Genomic DNA, 19,075 nt, shown 5'->3' on the forward strand with positions numbered 1-19,075 from the left:
GCCTTACCTTACATTTTGGTGCCACTTTTTATGCATACTTTAAAAGGTATCATTACATTATTTTTATAATAATTGGAAGGTACACAAGATGGGTGTTATCCCATTTTACTAATAAAGAAACTGAGGTTAAAAGTTAAAGTAAACCATAGACAGTGAAACAGAGGCTGAACCAGAAATAGAATCCCACCTAATTCTCACCCTGGACCTTGAGCTTTCTGATGAGGTAACATTCTTTAGATAGCAGTAGGAGAGCCAGAATGCCCAGTTAAAACCCCACCCCTGTAAAGTCCCTGCCTTTTTTTTCTCAGCTGGAAACTGGGAAGTTTGTCAGACAAAGCTCTTCAGGTTACTGGCAATTTATGTGCTGGGAGGTGGATTTGTGGGCAGAGCTCCGGCTGACCTGGTGTTGTCCTGCTATGGCTACAGACTTCTGACTATGCTTATCAGAAAAACTTTCATTTGGTTCAAGGATTTTTGGTGAGTCTCATTAATTCTGGTTTTATAAAAATAAAAGAGATTGGTGCAATGACTGACCCCTCATGCTGATGAGAATGAGGCTTATTGTGTTCCAAACGTGTATATACCATGGACTGCAGAGTGTCCGCAGCAGGTCCTGATCTCTATTCCTTCTCATTAAGGGATTGTTCAGGAACATCTCTCTGCTGACTTGGCATGGCTTTCTTCTGAGGACCCAGGCTGTTCTTGAGCTCCTCACTGGCCTGGGCTGGGATATTACTTGTCTCTGCAATCATCTGCTACCCAGCTTGGTCTTTGGCTCTGCACTTCCTCGAAGCACAGTCTCTGAGAACTTAGTCTTAATCATCCACTCCTATCAAAGCATCTGATTCCCTCCAAAATCCTTTGCAGAATCCTGACTGAGGCTCTCTAGGAAAATGATCTCTCTCTAAACTGAACCCGCTGTGTCCATATTGACTCTATAAGCTGAATTTTCATTGAGTTTTCACAACAGAAGGGATTTTAAAGACCTATTAACAAGAAGAATTTCTGCTAGGAATCTAGTAGTGGGTTCCATTTAGATTATAATATTTTAAATTGTCTCTCAGGCTGCAGCATCTCAGGAAATTAGCCTGAATTAGGAAATTCTCAGAAAGTTAGTCAGATGTCATTTTGTGCCCACTAACATAAGCATTGCATAAAAAGCAGTGAGATATTGCAGTGTTTCCAAAAGTGTGTTCTGTGGAGCACTAGTTCCATGAGATGATCCATAAACAAAGAGTTTTGTTGTGAGACAATTGTTGGTCCTAGCTCTTTAACCCCTCCTTGGATCCACTCCTTGCAATGGCCTCACCATGGATGGAGCATATTTCATCACTCCCTGACTTTGGGCTTGGCTATGTGACTTGCTTTGTCCAGTTGAATATGGATTACAGACACAGTATGACAATTTTAGGAGTAGGACTTAAGAAACTTAGTGCATTTTCACTGCCTCTTTTGTACCTCTGGCATTGTCCAAGAAGAACATGTCCTGGCTAGCCTGCTAGGCCAAGGAGGATGAGAGAAGCATAGAAAACACAAATTCCCAGGCCTGCTGCTTGAAGCAGAAGTGTTCCAGTCAAACTTCAGCTCTGTGAGAATACATGAAGATTGTTCTGAGACACTGAATTTTGGTGTGGTTTGCCATCTGGAATTATTGTGGCTGTAGATAACTAATATAATAGTCAAAAGAGTTTGGGACACATATAACTCCCTCTTCTCAGAGTCATAACCCACATTAATATATTAAAGGCTCTGAGAAGGACTGCATTATTTCATTACTTCCCAAACTCATTTCATTTTTTACCTTTATATTATAATAATATTATATAAAATATACACTTTAGATTAAAAAAAAAAAAACAAAGAAGAGCAGTTTGCCTAAGTCCTAAACTTGCTATTAAGAAACGTGGATGAACTCTTAGAACAACTGACAATGATTTTCAAGCCTTACCAATCAATCAGATTCATAAAGTTTACTTACTAGTAAATCCCCATTTACCTTCTCATGGCTGCTGAATTTCACATCAGTGACTTGTCTGGTATGGCTCTAAATTTCTAAATGAGTAAGAATTATTTTCCACTTCTGGTGCTAGCCAAATTTCAGAATGATTTTATAATCAGTATAAAGAACATTCATTTTTTAAGTAAATGACCAATGAATTATATTGATCAATTTTAATTAAATTCTTTTTTTCAAATAACATGACTAATATTTGCTATTAAAATTACTTAGCAGCTATGTTGGTGTTAAAAATGAGAATGAATAACCTAAAATACTGGCTGATCTCTTTTTCTCTTAATTTTTGAGAAATGGGGAGCACTTTCAGGAGAATTCTTTTTCAAGCTTAGTCACAATGCCAAGGCTTGGGACTGCTTTCAAGCACAAAAGAAAACACATGGGTTTCAGGAAACATATAGAAAACACCTCCTTTTTCATTTAATTTGGTAACTATGATGCATTGTTGATATCTGTTTATATTCCCTAAGGGGCCTTGGCCTGTGCTTTCATTTCAAACACAGGTGCTCATGTTCAACACCATTGGCAGTGATGTTTGTACAAGAATTTATTTCTTTCCAACTTCTTGAAGAATGGTCATAGCTTATCATATAAGCTGTCTCAGTAAGCATAAAACATTATGACCTGGAATGTCTTAAAACAAAGTGAAAAATCAGTTGACCTTTTATACTTTTCTTCCTTCTTCTAAGTGGACTTCTTTCTTCTCACTATATTTGCCCCTAGCTGGCTGGTCTATGGTAAGGTGCTATCTATTAACTAAAGCGTTAGTAAAATTCTTTCATTTTAAAAATCTTTCATTTTATAAGTGGTACTTTTAAAAGACATTTATTTCCAATAATAAAATGCTTGGAGAATTATTCCAGATACTAGGGGTACAAAGATGAACAAGATATCATCCCTGCCAATGAGGACCTTCAAATCTTGTGGTGAAAATAAACACATGAATAGTTACAGTGCAAATGAAATGAAAGTATGATATGCATTCTTAAGATAGAAGTAAGACATGTTAATTGAGTATTCTTAAAGTAAGTCATTTTTATGAGTTTGCTCATGTTGGCTAGCAGAATTGTGATGTGTTAGTGAGTTGAGGTATACAGCCTAGTTTTTATTCTTTGAAAAAACATGAAGGGTGCTTTACCTTGGGTTCTAAGAGAGACAATCACCACGATTCACTGTGAACTACTGCCTTTAATATTTGGAATGAGAACTACATACTCTACTAAACAGTTTTCCTAAGCCTAGTTATAGATAATAAACTATGTATAATATAAATAGAGAAAGTGGATGTTAATATCCAACTCCATCCTTAGGAATTATGAGAAACTTTGAGGAAACAAATTTAAATGAACTGTCTTTGGCTTAATCCACTCTGTATTTCTCCTGCTGCATCAGGTTCCGTAACCCTCTGCTATGTCTCCAGTGCTTCTTGGGCTAAGGTAGAAATACCAGGGCTGGTTTTCAGTCTCAATTAATTTGCACAAGTTTCGCTTTGGCTTCAGAGTTTATAGGGATAATTACCTCCCCAAATGCTCTGGGAAATGCATGCTCTTATTACAAGGGTTACCATATATCTCAGTTTATCTGGGACAATCCCAATTAATGCCTACTGTTCTGGTGGGACTATTAGTTATATCTTATGCCAGTGTAATGGATTAACGGGGCAGCCACCTATTAGTCCTGCTCACCCTGTGGGAAAGGGATGGGAGTGTTATAGTCTGCTCCCTTTGTCTTTGAGATAACAGCTGAAAACAGAGCAGAAATGTGGGTGCCATGAAATTTCCTGTGTGCACATTAATATCTTTCTTGGGGGGCAGTAGCTCAGAATTCTAAGGTTTTACCATTTCATGTCCCCATCAAATTAGCCTCATATCCTTTACCTCCCATGCATTCATTCTTTGAGAGTGAAATGTTTAAATGCCTGCATTTAATATTTACATTTGTTTTTTGAATTATTTTTGAATTATAATGATTTATAAATAATTTATAAATGACCTTCATTTTACTGGAATAGATATTCAGAGAATGATTTAATTTACTCAGTTTTAGTGTAGCACCACCATAAATCCAAAGGGAAATTGAAGAGAACTCACTGGTTTACTGTTTCTCAATCTTGGTGAATTTCATCTCTTTATTTCAAAGATACATTGTGTCCTTGTGTATTGAGTAAAAATAGCTCCACTATCTAATAACAAAGGCATACTGTATTTGACAAATTCCAGATTATAAAACATGTTTATAGTGGAATTGATAAAATTCATAGTAGCAGTACAGTAGGGAAGACAGATCTATGTAATGGGTCTAGGTATGGATTGGAATCAAGTCTAAAGGCCCCTTGTGTAAGTTGTGTGCTTTGAGGGAAGTCATTTAATGTTTTTGAGCCTCAACTTCATTATGGATAAAATGAGGAAGTAAAACTTGCCCTACCCACCTCATAAGGCAACAAATGTGATTAATGTAAAAATAATTTATCCAATGCAAAGCACTATGTGATCATAAGTGGTAGCAGAGAGCTCTGTCCTTCAGGCTATTTAGAGGTATTATACTCACAGAAGAAAAGATATCCACTTGAAAAGTGAGATTTCGTAGTCTATCTCTCTTTCCATTGGCAGTTCCATTCCCCCTATACAGACTAAAGCTCAAACAAGTTCAAGCCAACAAGAATTTGTCAGGAACTGATCAGGATACAGCAATGGGTTTGAGGTGGGCAGAAACTGCTAGTCAATGGGGCATTTCAAAGATGCTAGTGTTTGCAAATTCTGTACCACTGGTTCCTACTCTTGCCAGTGCCTGAACTTGATTTGGTTATAAAGATAAATAAGACATGGTTCTGCTCTAGGGAGCCCACAATTCAATGAGGGAGACAGACATACACAAGTTAATTTCAATATAATGTAATAAAGAGTATAATTTTTTTTTTCATCTTCAGCTGACAAGTTTATTTAATCCCTGAACCTGGATCCAAGGCATCTCCCTGTAGAAAACATCAGACCGGGGCAGAGATTGACAAAGCAACCCAAAGCAGCAGCTGCCAACGGCCGCTGTGCCCACCTCATCAGCAGCTAAAGAGTATAATTTTAAAAAAAGTCACAGAAGAATGTGGAGACACTTAGCAAAACGGACTCTCATAAGGTAAGTTTAAAGAAAGATTTCAGGTGCCAACGATATTGTGTATGTCTGAAAGCCTTCTGTAATGATCATTATGGCACAGTTCTCAGGTGTAACAAAGGGTCAGAGATTACACCTCCTTGCTCCTAGCATAAAAATAACAACCACAGATTTTGTTGTAGAACACACCAGTGCCTAATACCTCATTCGGTCAATTACTTGCTACATTTCTGAGCTTCAGCTTCTTCATCTGTGGTGCAGGGGTAATCATATCTACCTCAGTCTACTGGAATGTCAGCTCTACAAGGGCAGGGACTTTGGCCTCTTTTGTTTATTACTGTGTCTCCATCACTTAGAACATGGTAAGCACTATGGATGTTACCTTATATAGGAAGTACTTACCTGGCCCATGGTAAGTACTCAATAAATATTAATAGTTGTGGAATTTGTTTTGTAAATGAAGGTAGCTATTCATCTCCCAATCACCATTTTTTTTCCTAATTTTAATGAAGATCCACAGTAGAGTCAAGGAGATATTGGACCAGGTCCACTGGTTTACTCTTTGCTTCTCAATCCTGACCAATTTCACCTTTTTGTCTTTCAAGTATGTATTTCAAAGGTACATAGTGTCCTCGTGTATTTAGTAAAAATGGCTCCATTACACAAGACACAGGCAAAAGGCAATGGACAGACCATGCTCATGATGCTTCCCCGTGTATATCCATGTGGTCTGCCATGCTGCAATGTCCTTCCCCGTTGAGAAATTTGCAAGGATCTGAAGACTCAGGTCTGTATATAGAAAGGGTATCATCAAATATGCTTACTTTTTCTGTTTTTCAATGTTTGGAGTCTCTGTTTTTATAAGTGTACAGTTATTCTGAAAACAACCTTTTCCCAAATTGTCAGAGAAAAAACTGTGACTATGCTAGAGTAGTTCATCCATCAAGCTACATCCTTTAAGTACTTTCTCATCTAAAGGATTGACAGATTGCACATTTCACTGGAAAGCTGTCACACAAATATTTCCCTGGAGAGTTGGTAGCTCCAGAGCTTGAGAGTCGGATCTCAGAACGGCAAATACCTCATTGAGAACTAGCTCTAACACCAAATGCAGTTCTCCCGACTGGCCACTTGGTGGCAGTGCCAACTAAGTGCCAGCTCAAGCCATTAGATTGCACACAGGCATGTGATTCCTAACTTCTATTTATTCATTCAAATTTTAGGACCTACAAGTGGTTTTTGGTCAATCACATGGGCTAAGGCAAACTTTGCTTACTGACAAAGAGACTACATGACAATTTTAAAATACATTTCTTACCCTAATTTATGACATTATGTTAGGCCCCCAGTTAGGATACACCTGAAAAGGTGAATAATGGCAATTTCCTCAGTGTCTTTTAATAATCTCTATCTTGACATTATACATAGGTCAAACATAATCCAGGTCCTATCCCAGAACTGGTTATTACCCTGAACTTCTCCACCTCATAAATCTTAAACTCTGTTCTCTGACCACAAACATCTATCTCTCCCTCTTTGCTGTTACAGCAAAGGTGTGCTTTCTCAGAGATCACAGTCTCTTGAGCCCTTCTCTTTTTTCCTGTTTTCCATGTTCCATAGTCCATCCTGCAACCCTTCTGTGTTAGGGTTCTCCTGAGAAACAGAATGAATAGAATGTAGATGGTAGATACATAGATTAGATTAGAGCTAGATAGATATAGAGATAGATAAAGACTTATCATAGAAATTGGCTCATATAATGATTGTGGAGACTGAAAAGCCCCACGGTCTGGCATCTGCAAGCTGGGAACCAGGAGAACTGGTGGTGTAACTCCTGGTCTAATTCCTTAAGTCCGGAGAACCAGGAGCTCCAATGTCCAGGGGCAGGAGAAGACAGATGCCCCAGCTCAAACGGGGACAGTGAATTCACCATTAGTCCACCTATTTGTTCTGTGCAAGCCCTCAATGAATGGGATAATGTCCACCTGCATTGGTGAGGGCATGGGCTCACTGCTGCACCTCTTTTGCTGTGAAGTGAGTTTCTGGATCAGAAACAATGCTGTGTGGAAAACCATGATGGTGGATAAGGCATTCTGTGAATCCACAGATGACAGTTTTGGCAGAGAAGCATTGCAGGTGAGAAAAGCAAGTTTGTATCCAAAGTAAGTTTCTATTTTAGTATGGACAAAACACTGCCCCTTCCATGATGGAACTGGTTCAGTGAAATCAACTTGCCTCCAGGTAGCTGGATGATAACCATGGGGAATGGTGTCATATTGGTGTTCAGTGTTGGTTTCTGCTGCTGGCAGATTGGGCACTCAACTGTGGCCATATCCAAGTTGACTTTGGTGAGTAGAAGTCCATGTTGCCGAGCTCATGCATAACCACCATCTCTGCCATCATGGCTACTTTGTTAATGAGCCCATTGGCCAATGACAGAAGTGGCAGGAAAGAAAGAGACTGACTGGTATCCACAGGACAGGTCATTCTATCTACTTGATTATTAAAATTCTCCTTTGCAGAGGTTACTCTTTGGCAGGCTTTCACATGGGACACAAATACCTTCATTTTTTTGTTTGTTTGTTTTTGTTTTACTCATTCAGAGATGTTTCCTCTCTGTGTGTTGGCTCATTCTTTCCCAGGCTCCTTTGACAACCCTTTAAGTGTTGCTGGAATTCTTCCTTAGACTTATTTTCTCTCTATACAACCCCATGTGACCTCTTTTATGGCTTCAATTATCAATTATATACTGAAGAATATACTCCTGAAACAATATCTCTAGGCAGCTTGTCTAAACCTGAACTCCCCATTCCTTCATGTTTTCTACCAAGTCTTTTATTTTATTTTTTTAGATGAAGTCTTGCTCTATTGCCCAGGCTAGAGTGCAGTGGCATGATCTCAGCTCACTGCAACCTTTGCCTCCTGGGTTCAAGTGATTCTCGTGCCTCAGCCTCCCAAGTAGCTGGGATTACAGGAGTGCACCACCACACCCTGCTAACTTTTGTATTTTTTTGTAGAGATGGGGTTTTGTCATGTTGGCCAGGCTGGTCTCGAACTCCTGGCCTCAACTGATCCGCCCACCTCGGCCTCCCAAAGTGCTGAGATTACAGTTATTTACCAAGTCTTCTCATCCTTTATTCTTCATCTCATTAATGGTTCTGTTAACCACCTCGTTATCAAATTGGAAACCTAGAAGTCATGCTTTACTCCCTCTCTCTCACTTCACACATCTATGTAGGCACCAAATTCAGTTAAATGTAGTACCTTTACATCTACTGAGATAGTTCACTTCTCCATCTCCATAGCCACTGTCTTAACTCAGGCTGTCTTCATTTTCCCCCATAAATTACTGAATAAGTTGCTCATTCCTTGTCCCAACAAACCAATTCTCCAAACTCCTGCAAGAGGGAATTTCAAACAGGAAGATCTGATTTGCTTAAATTCATTTTTGGTTTTTCATATTGTTCAGCATAAACTCCTAAGCATAAAGTTTTGGAAATGCATTCTGAAAAAGTGAAACAAATGACAACTTTCTGAAGCTATTGGAAACTTAGATAAAATGTTTAACATTACAGAGAAAGTATTTGTTTTGTGGTAATGACATGAATTTAAATTTTGGTGGAGCAAGGCTTTGTGGTAAATATAACATTTGTATTAATATAAAAATCTATGGAGAAGAAATAAATTTGAAGCTGTTTGTCATGTACGGATAAACCATAATTGTATTCAAACAAACTATGATATCATATCTGTTAAAATAGAGTCTGTAGTTGTTGCAGTTTAAAGAGTTTAACATATCTTACATGGTTAATGTCATAAAATATTTGCTATGAAGTTGATGTTGAATAATAAAACAAGCTTTGACATGGCAAATTGCACTTTATCTCTTTTCTTCCCATCATCAATTGAATTTACAAGTGTTTTAGCCTTTGAAGAACTACTTTGCAAATCAATGTTAATGTTCTACAACAGCGTTCAACTTTTTGTAAATGAGCTTTTTAACCTTTTAGTATATTAAAAAGTCAACTGTACATCTATCAATCATTAAACCATTCTGTGAATGTAATGCCAAAAAGTCAGCTTTGGCAGCATTTACTGAGTTGAAATTATTAAAAAGAAAGCCTGCACCCAGATCCCAGATGTTGCTTTCTAAATATCATTCTCCAATAAAAGCAACCAGGGGTCCTTAGAGAAATGGTTGATGTCAGCAACTCTCAGTTTCGGCTAGGATTGGAACAGGGAAAATATAAGATGAGCTTGAAGCATTTGTAGCCCCAGGAAGCAAGGAAGAACCCCTAAAACAAAGGATAAAGGCATGCCGAAGGGACTAAAGAGCCAACCTGAAAGAGCTCCCAGTGGCCACATTGGAATAATTTGAAAAACAAAATAATAATAATGTTGGATTATTACTGAAAGCATAGTATGATTATACATGAATCTGCACTGAATACATATATACAGTTCCCCTGGAATGGAAGTATAATTCCCTCCTCCTTGAGTATGGGCTGGGCTTCATGATTTTCTTCCAAAAATAGAGCATGAAAAGGAAGAAAAATAATAACTTTATTGTAGAGAAACCTGGCAAACACTACCTTCAGCAAGTGATCATGGTTAACATCACTAGTGCTATGGTATGTTGACACCATGTGATGAGGAAGGCATTTCACCTTTGTGGTATTCTCCCAATCCCATAACTCCAGTGCACCATAAGAAAAACATCAAACAAAAATCAAAGAACATTTTATAACATATCTGACCAGTACTCTTCAAAACTATCAAGGTCATCAAAAATAAAGACAGACTAAGATGAGACTAAGGAGATATGATGACTAAATGTAATGAGGTATCCTGGATGAGATCCTGGAACAGAAAAAGGACGTTAGGGAAAAACTAATGAAATCAGAATAAAGGGTGGAATTTAGTTAATAGCAATGTACCAGTGTCGATTTCTTAGTTATGACAAGTGTACCATGGTTAAAGCATGATGTTAACAAAAGGAGAAACAGGGTGAAGGATATACAGGAATTCTTTGTACTACTTTTACAGTTTTTATGTAACTCTAAAATTATTCTAAAAGAAAAAGTTGATTTAAAAAAGAAAGCCTATAATATTGAAAATGTTAAATGCATTAATCCAGAATTTTGGGAGGCCAAGGTGGAAGGATCACTTGAGCCCAGGAGTTGGAGACCAGCCTGAGCAACATAGGGAGATGCCATCTCTACAAAAAAATTTTAAAAATTACCCAGGCGTGGTGGTGCACACCTGTGGTCCCAGCTATTCAGGCAGCTGAGGTGGGAGGATCACTTGAGCCTGGGAGGTCAAGGCTGCAGCAAGCCGAGATCACATCACTGCATTCCAGGCTGGGTGACAGAGCGAGACCCTGTCTCAAAAACAAAAACCAAAAAACCTTATTTCTACAAAACCAAGGAGAAACTGAAGAAATTATGGGGAACTCAAACAGTGTGTACAGGAATAAATTTTGAGTATCTTGACTTGTAGAAAGAATATTTTGATGGAGCTCCAATTTTTAATTTGATAATTTATATTGACGTCTGGAATTGAAAGATATTGAGAACTCTTAGATTTTGCAGGATTTATATTTGGCAAAAAATTCAAAAGTATATAAATTCAGGCTATGTTTTTTTAGAAGTTCTTTTTTTCCTACAAAATAATTTGTCAAAGAAGTTGTACTCTGAAGGAAAGCAAAAAGCAGTGCTTGTGACAATATTGGGGTAAAATATTTATACATTTCAATTAGAAGAAATTAGATTTGAGACTATTCTTCATAACTGGCTCCGAGTTTGCCAGGAACCTCAGTGCCTATGGAGAGAACATACTATCAAATAAAAAAATAGAGAAGTATCAATTTCGGATGTTAACAATTTCAAATGTATTAACCACCAAAATAACACTTTGCAGACTACAATTTGATGAACAAATTAAAAATAATAAGATGCTTATTGAAAAAACTGCACTCTTCAAGAAAATACTAGTAACATATTAGAGACAGATGCAGCTAAGCAACTGAATATGCATCACAGTCATTGTTTTGTTTATTTCATTTTTAAAGCATTCAGGTAGTCAATATAACAAAATAATTTTAAAAATTGTTTAAGGTGCATGAATGTATGTTATTTTCAATTTTTAGAAGTAATTTTATTTTTTAAAAGTTTTTAATAGAACTGCCAATGTAATACAATAGGACCAATATAGTAAAAACACAATTTGTTGCTCGATAAATATTTTAATTATGTAATTTTCATGATTGTGTTAGCATATTCTCTTTCACTCTCAAACACACTTTCACGTGGATAAATTCACTTAACATAAAGATATCCTTGAGCAGCCTGCAGACAGGCAACAGTTTCTTATTCATTGTTGTACCTTCAGCATCTAGCATGGGGATATTTAATACATGTTTATTGAAGGGATGAATAAATCAATGTACGTTTTGCCCTGCAGAGTGTTCGATGGTGCTGCTACTAATGAAAGGTAAGCAGTAGCAAAGCTTGACATGAATGCTTTTCCTTTTAGCAGCATGTGGACCTTTAACACCTGGGTGAACCCTAAACAGGTGGTGCATGGTGGAAACCCAGGTGCAGAGCGGAGTGCCTCATTCGTCTCTCACAGCTGCTCCCTCCTTTTGGGGTTCCTATAGCCTCAACTTTTTTTCTTTTGAAGCTTTTAAAATCTACCAAAAAATTGAAAGAAGAATATAGGTAACACCCATGTTTCTTTCACTTCAGAAAATTAATAATTTTATACTGTCAAACATGCACTTAAATTTTCCTAATTGTCCCCCAGATATTATTTTTAGCTGCTTTAAACCTGTATCCAATGAAGTTTCAGGCATTGCATTTGTCTGTGTCTCTTTTATCTCTTTTAATCTAGAACAGTCCCTGCCTTCTTTTGTTCATTTTTCACATCCCTGGCTTTTTCAACAAGTCTTGCGGACTGGCCTTTTGTCTACTCTTTAGTTTTTAAAATGTTATAAAGTGAATTAAGAACATGTGGTCAAGTTCCCTTTTACTAGACAAGGATGATTTAGAGAGATGGGCTTTTAGGCAAAAATGCCAGTCAGAGAATGAGGAGAGATTTCATTTAACATACAAGACTTAGGGGCTCCTTTCCATATAGTCAAGGAAAAAAATCCAGCTATTTCACTGAAGAAGTAATCATTTAGAATTCATTGATAATTACTCCTCAAAAATATTAGGTAAAATTTTCATCGAGCAATTTCTGAAGCACAATAACTACATTTGAAAAGAAATATTTTACATATTTAAGGCATTATTTTAATTTAGGTTTTTCCACATACATTATATGTGAGTACATTTAAAGTTAAATGACCTGCTACCACATGTTAATTATTATTTGTGCTAATAAACAACAAAATAGGGTGATAAAGAGGTATTTTAAATTGTATTCCATTTTTCTATACACTCTTGCTAGGAAATTAACTGTGCATTTTTTGGGGGGGGCAGGGAATAAAGCAGGCTTAGGCACCAATCCAAATCGATTCTCCTTTCATTAAAACAGACTGATTTGTTGCATTGAATCAATGAATAGCAGTTACTAGGTGCTGAGAAGAGATAAAAGATAGCAAATATATATAGTATAAATAAGAGAAACATGCTGATACATGTTCTTTTACTTTCCACTTTTTGGTATATACCAAATATTTTATATTTGATAGGTATATATAGTGTACATATATATATATATATCCTATATATCTATATAGCATACATATATCTATATATGTATCTATATATCTATATATATCCTATATATCTATATAGCATATATATCTATATAGCATATATATGCTATATAGATATATATAGGATACTATTATAAATGCTTCATTATCCATGGCCTTAAGTCTTCTTTCAGAATTTGTACAGAAAATGGTAGGCACTCAATAAATGCTTTTCGCACAAATGAACTCGAATTTGTTCCATGCATATTGCTATTTTCAAATTGATGTCACACATGGTCTGAGTGAATTTCATCTGCATTGAAATGTGGAGGAAGCGCTTGACAGATGACAGTGTGAGGCCCTGCAGGGTGAGAAGAAAAGCTGTGCCAGCCTGATGGAGAATACTGTGACCTTAAGGCTGCCCTTGAAAGACAGCGGGATTGTGTGGCTCACACAGCACCCCCAGCACATCCGTGCTGGGGTGGTGGGTCCCAGGATGTGCACAGGAGTAGAAAACAATAACTACATTAGCATTCAGAGCCATCCACACCAAATCGCTGCCTCCTCCAATGTCATCTGCAGATGGGAAATCTGGGGATTTTTAGATGGTTTTTATGACAATTATAATGCCACTTACATGCGCATCCTTCTCTAAAACACTGCTCATGAAGTAACTACCTAACCTATTATGCTGTTGTTAGAGGAGGAAAAAAATTAAAATTACTCCATTTCTTTGTTTACATGGAAGTCTTACCGTGTAGCATATATTTGCATACATTTAGATAAAATGTATCCCTTCTGGCTCCAAACAGTGTTGAATCAGTCCCTTCACCTCTCTGAGATTTAGTTTCCTCATAAGTAGAGAATGAGTAAAAATATTCACTATGTTTATCCCTCAGAGTTGCTGAAAAATCAAATGAGAAAATGAATGTGTATGAAAGTAAAAAAAAAATGTGTTATTACTACTATTACCTGTCTCTTCAGCTCATATGTTTGTATATGACTCACATCCATGGATGGAGAAAGGATGAAAGTTTATTCACTAGGGTCAGAACATCTCCCAAGAATGGCCTGGGACGCTTTGAAGTCAGGAAAGAGGGTGGCTCTATCGGCTTCTTAAAGTTTTCTCACTCTCTCTATATCCACCAAAACCCAGTTCAGTATTTTCCTGTCCAACTTAGTGGTGCTGTGCATCCCCACCCAGAAAACATTATGAGGTGGTGGAAAGACTCCAAAAACAAATAAAACAGCAGGGATGGAATTTCGATTCCACCTTTGTGTTAGTTCGTTCTCATGCTGCTATAAAGACATACCTGAGACTGGTAATTTATAAAGAAAAGAGGTTTAATTGGCTCACAGTTTCACCGGCTGTGTAGGAGGCATGGCTGGGGAGGCCCCAGGAAACTTACAATCATGGCAGAAGGCGAAGAGGAAGGAGGCACGTTCTACATGGCTTGAGCAGGAGAAAGAGAGTGAAGGGGGAGGTGCTACACACTTTCAAACAACCAGATCTCTTGAGAACTCACTGGCTATCATGAGAACAGCAATGAGGAAATCTACCCTTGTGATCCAGTCACCTCCCACCTGGTCCCTCCGCTAACATTGGAGATTACAATTCAGTATGAGATTTGGGTGAGGACACAGAGCAAAATCATATCAATATTTAATTTGGTGTGTGACCTGGTACACACTACTGAATCTTTCCAAGTCTTATTTTTCCTATTTGTGTAACAATCTTAGTATTGTTAGTCAGTTGTGTAACATAGAATGTGTGAAGCAATACATAGGGGGCTTTTAGAAAATAGTTTACTTTGCTCAAAATCGGCAGCCCACACACCTTGAATTTCCTCATTTTAGTATTCAAATTAATGAGACAATGTATGCAAACTCCAGCAAGGAGCTTGGCATGTGGGATGTAATTAATTCATTCAGGCTTCAGCCTTGTAATGGTAACATAGTGAGATGGGGCTGGAGGAGGAAAATCAAAGGAGTCTGTGGCTCAGACAGAGACCTAGGTCATGAGGAAAATAACCTGTGCTGTGTGTAATAGGGCTGAATTGAGTCTGCTTGACCAAGAATTTCTTAGTAAAACCCACATTCTATTTTTCTTTGTTTTAAAGATACAGCAAGTGCCAATCGTTAAGTTTTTCATGCCTGACTTGTCTGTTGACACTGCTGCCTAGAAGGGACTTGGACTAGCAAGTGCAGAAGCTTTTTCTCTGGTGTCAGTAGGCTGGAACATAGGCTTGCCATTCATTGCTCTCCTGATCTTTATTTGGCCTGAAAGAGGAACTAGAGTAGATGTGGGAGAGATACAGTGTTTTCTAACCTGTTTTTTCATACTTAAAAATTTAGCATAAATGCTCAAGTCCCAATCTGGCAGTAAGTCTTCTTGTCCCTGCCTTCAAAATATATTGTCTATTCACTTCTTTCCACCTCCACTGCCACCAGCCCAGGTCAAGTCATTATTATTTTTTAAATTATTATTATTATTTTTTTGATACAGAGTCTTGGTCTTCCGCCCAGGCTAGAGTGCAATGGCGTGATCTCTGCTCACTGCAACCTCTAGCTCCCAGGTTCAAGCAATTCTCCTGCCTCAGCTTCCCAAGTAGCTGGGATTACAGGTGCCTGCCACCATGCCTGGCTAATTTTTTGTATTTTTAGTAGAGACGGGTTTTTGCCATGTTGGCCAGGCTGCTCTTGAACTCCTGACCTCAGATGATCCACCTGCCTCAGCCTCCCAAAGTGCTGGGAATATAGGTGTGGGCCAACGTGCCTGGCCCACTCTGACAACTGTGTCAAAAGTATTCTATCTGATTCTGCTTTTTATTTATTTATTTTTTTTTTTTTTTGCCATTCCTCCCTGTAGTAGACATGGTGATTGTGTTGACAGCCTCCAGTCAACTCTCTGTATTGTGGCAGCTGTGTGGTTTGTGTGGGATTGACCCCACCACCATCTCTAGGGAAAACCCTGATGGCGTAAAGCCTATCAGGAAAATCCATGTGCTGTTGTTGCAGCACTTGTTTCAGACAACCCAGGACTAACCCAAGCAGCTCCTGATATTTATCTGGCCAAAGGATTGGTTCAAGGTAGTTCAATTGTGCAAATCTTAGGGCATTTGTCAAATGGATAGAGGGAGCCATCCTGTTCTCTCCTCCTGGATGTGAAGGAGAAAGCATGATGTGGTGTACAGACTGGTAGCCATTTTGCCCAGGCAGCCTGAGAAAGAAGCCACCAAGTAGGAGGCAAAGCCACTGGAGTCTCAGAGAAGTGGAGTAAAATCCCCAACTAAACCACGCCTAAATCCCTTTCTTCCTTTGAACTTTCAGTAACATGGGCCAATAAATCCCTTCTAAGTCATTTTTGCATTCTTATAATGGTTCCTAATGGCTTTATTCTCTACACTATAGACAAAGTGATCTTTTCAAAACATAAATCAGACTATGTTACACCCTTGCTTAAAATTCTCTGCTAAGAATTTAAGATACAGTATAACTTCTTAATTAAATTGGACATGACACTATATAATGAGATGTTAACTTCTCTGACCTCTGTGGCTGCCACCTACCCTTTCTCTCACTACACTGCAGATACCCGTGAATTCTTTCTATGCCTCAAATTCATCAGGTTTATTCTAATCTCAGATTTACACTTGCTGTTTCCTCTGCCTAGAATGCTCTTCCTTCAGATCTTAAATTGCTGATATCCTCTTCTCATTCAGGTCTCAACTCAAATATTGCTTCCTCACAGAACTTTTCCCTAGCTACTCAATTTCATTTTTCTTCTGATCAATGCCACCCTGTATACTACTAACCTGTTTAGTTTTGTTCATAGCAGCATTTGGTATCTAAAATAATCTTATTTCCTTTTTTTAGTGTCTCCCCACTAAAATAGAAGCTTCTGGTGAGAGAAGACCTTATCTTTCTTCTTCATCCTGTATCTTATTGTCTAGGGCAGTTCTTGGAACCATAGTAAATAGTAAATAAATATTTGATGAATTAATGAAAGTCACTAAATATAAGATATTTTTAATACTCTATTATATGAATGTCCCATTTATTTTTTATTAACTTTTGATAAGTCCTTATGTTGAATTCAATTTTCCAGATCAGCAAAGGACCCGGTGGTCTCCAAAAATAGTTTTAAGTCTGGTATCCTGTATGTCTGAATAAGAGAATACCAGGAACCCATCTCTCCTACGCTTTCCAGTCCTTTGGTCTGCTCTTCTTCATTAGGTTCAATCTCCCTTTGGCTGATGTGAGCTCATTTGCATAGAGTATAATTTGGATAGTGCTCCTGGAGTTTTTCAGGGCCTAGGTTCAGATCTGATCTTGCCTTCTAATTGGTTGGTTCCCTCCCCTGGGCTGGATATGTTTTCTTCATGTTAGCCACTATGTGGCCTGAATGTGGGTCCAAACTACCAAATCACTGGACCACCATGAATCATGAGTTGCTTGTTTTTCATACAGCTAAGGGCTAGAGGAACCTGCTGCTTTGTCTAACTCAGTAGATGGGCATCTCTTAGACTGTGTTGCCTACCTACAGAAAGTTAGAATGTGTCACCTATTCAGCCCATCACAGGCAATACACACAGGAGCTTCCTCCACTCCCCTGCCATCTTCCACCCATGAATCTTTTCAATTTAATTTTATTTTTTTGAGATGGAGTCTCACTCTGTCACCCAGGCTGGAGTGCAATGGTGCGATCTCGGCTCACTGCAACCTCTGCCTCCTAGGTTCAGGCGATTCTCTTGCCTCAGCCTCCCGTGTAGCTGGGATTACAGGCACCCGCCACCACACCCAGCTAATTTTTGTATTTTTAGTAGAGATGGAGTTTCATCATGTTGGCCAGGCTGGTCTTGAACTTCTGACCTCTGGTGATCTGCCTGCCTCGACCTCCCAAAGTACACCTATGAATCTTATTGGGTAGTTTCTCTTTTTCTCCTTGAGCCAGTTGTGGAGGAGCCAGCATGACTTGTGGCTGATCCTACTTTCACCTTAGAAAGATCTTGGCCACTTTCCTCCAGGGTATTCTTGACTGTTTTCCTTCCGGGCACTCTTAACCATTCTCCTCTGAGCTGCATTGTCATCAAAGGGGACAGAAGGATAAATAACCAGTCAGTGTAGGAAAGTGGATTATGGAGTGAAGGAACACTTCAGTTGTGAAAGAGTTAAATCCAAGAGATAGGACAGCTATATTTTCTGTTAACTATGGACATAAAGTGAAGACAAATAACACAACTATTTAGCTGTACTTCCCATTCAACCCCCTGGTTTGCCTTTGTCTTTCCTGTCATTCACATGTGGAGTTGCAGCAGACCAGAGATTACTGGGAGCAGGCAAAGTGACAAAGTGGAGTATCTCTCAGTTCAGAATGTACTGTCTCTTACACCACAGAGGATTTATATTGTAATGTGCAATTGAGAGACCTAAGGGTGTCTTACAGATGAAATGTTGTCATTTAGGAAAAGAAGTAATGCTGTGCAAAAGAAAGTGGGCTGACTTGTAATTTAGAATTTCAAACACTCAGATCTGTTTTTTTTTTGATAATGGAACTGATAAACGTTATTTTGTCTACACCTTTCCTTTTAGATATCTCCATCATTTATTCTGATTTTTAATAACAAAGGAAAAATCCTTTAGATGTAAGACTTTAGTGACCACCATGTTTTAGATTAATCAAAGGTTTGGGGACCAAGTCGGCAAAAAGTGCCATCACCTTAAATCTCCTTGCTCTTCCCATTACTCTTACAGGATTTCAAAGGGGTATTACCACCTGTAAGAGGCCTTGGCTGAGGGGTCCTGCTCCAATTACTTCCAGGATGACCCTGGCACCAAAATTCTTGTGGCTCTGAGCCTCACTTCATACACATGTGAAACAAAAATCACTAAAAACCTTTTTAACTGTTCTATGATTCTAACTCTATTTGTGGCTTTGTTTGGGAATAACTCAGAAACCAGGCGGAAGTGTTAATAAATGCCTTTCTGTTCTAAACCAAAAAGTATCTGTGACAGGTCTCAATCAGTTTAGAAGTTTATTTTGCCAAGGTTAAGGACATGCCTGGAAGAAAAGAACATAACATCGCAGAAACAGTCTGTGATTTGTGCCTTTCTCCAAAGATGATTCTGAGGGCTTCAGTAATTAAAGGGGAAAAGCAGGCTGGAGAGAAAGAGGAGGGGTACAGTAATCCACATGTTGTTAGAGAAAAGAAGCAGACAGGGGAATCGTGAATTATGTAATAGTCTCATGCTCA

At 38.3% G+C, this 19,075-nt stretch overlaps 1 long non-coding RNA gene across 1 annotated transcript in view; it reads left to right on the plus strand.

Annotated features, from left to right (window-relative positions):
• Positions 1-19,075, plus strand: part of MCHR2-AS1 (MCHR2 antisense RNA 1) — an 82,382-nt gene that overhangs the window by 1,816 nt on the left and 61,491 nt on the right. The window contains exon 2 of the long non-coding RNA NR_038384.1: positions 4,941-5,143. This is a non-coding gene — a long non-coding RNA (MCHR2 antisense RNA 1). The remainder of the gene's footprint in view (positions 1-4,940; positions 5,144-19,075) is intronic.

Source organism: Homo sapiens, chromosome 6, assembly GCF_000001405.40.
Source record: "Homo sapiens chromosome 6, GRCh38.p14 Primary Assembly".
NCBI classification, from domain to species: Eukaryota; Metazoa; Chordata; class Mammalia; order Primates; family Hominidae; genus Homo; species Homo sapiens.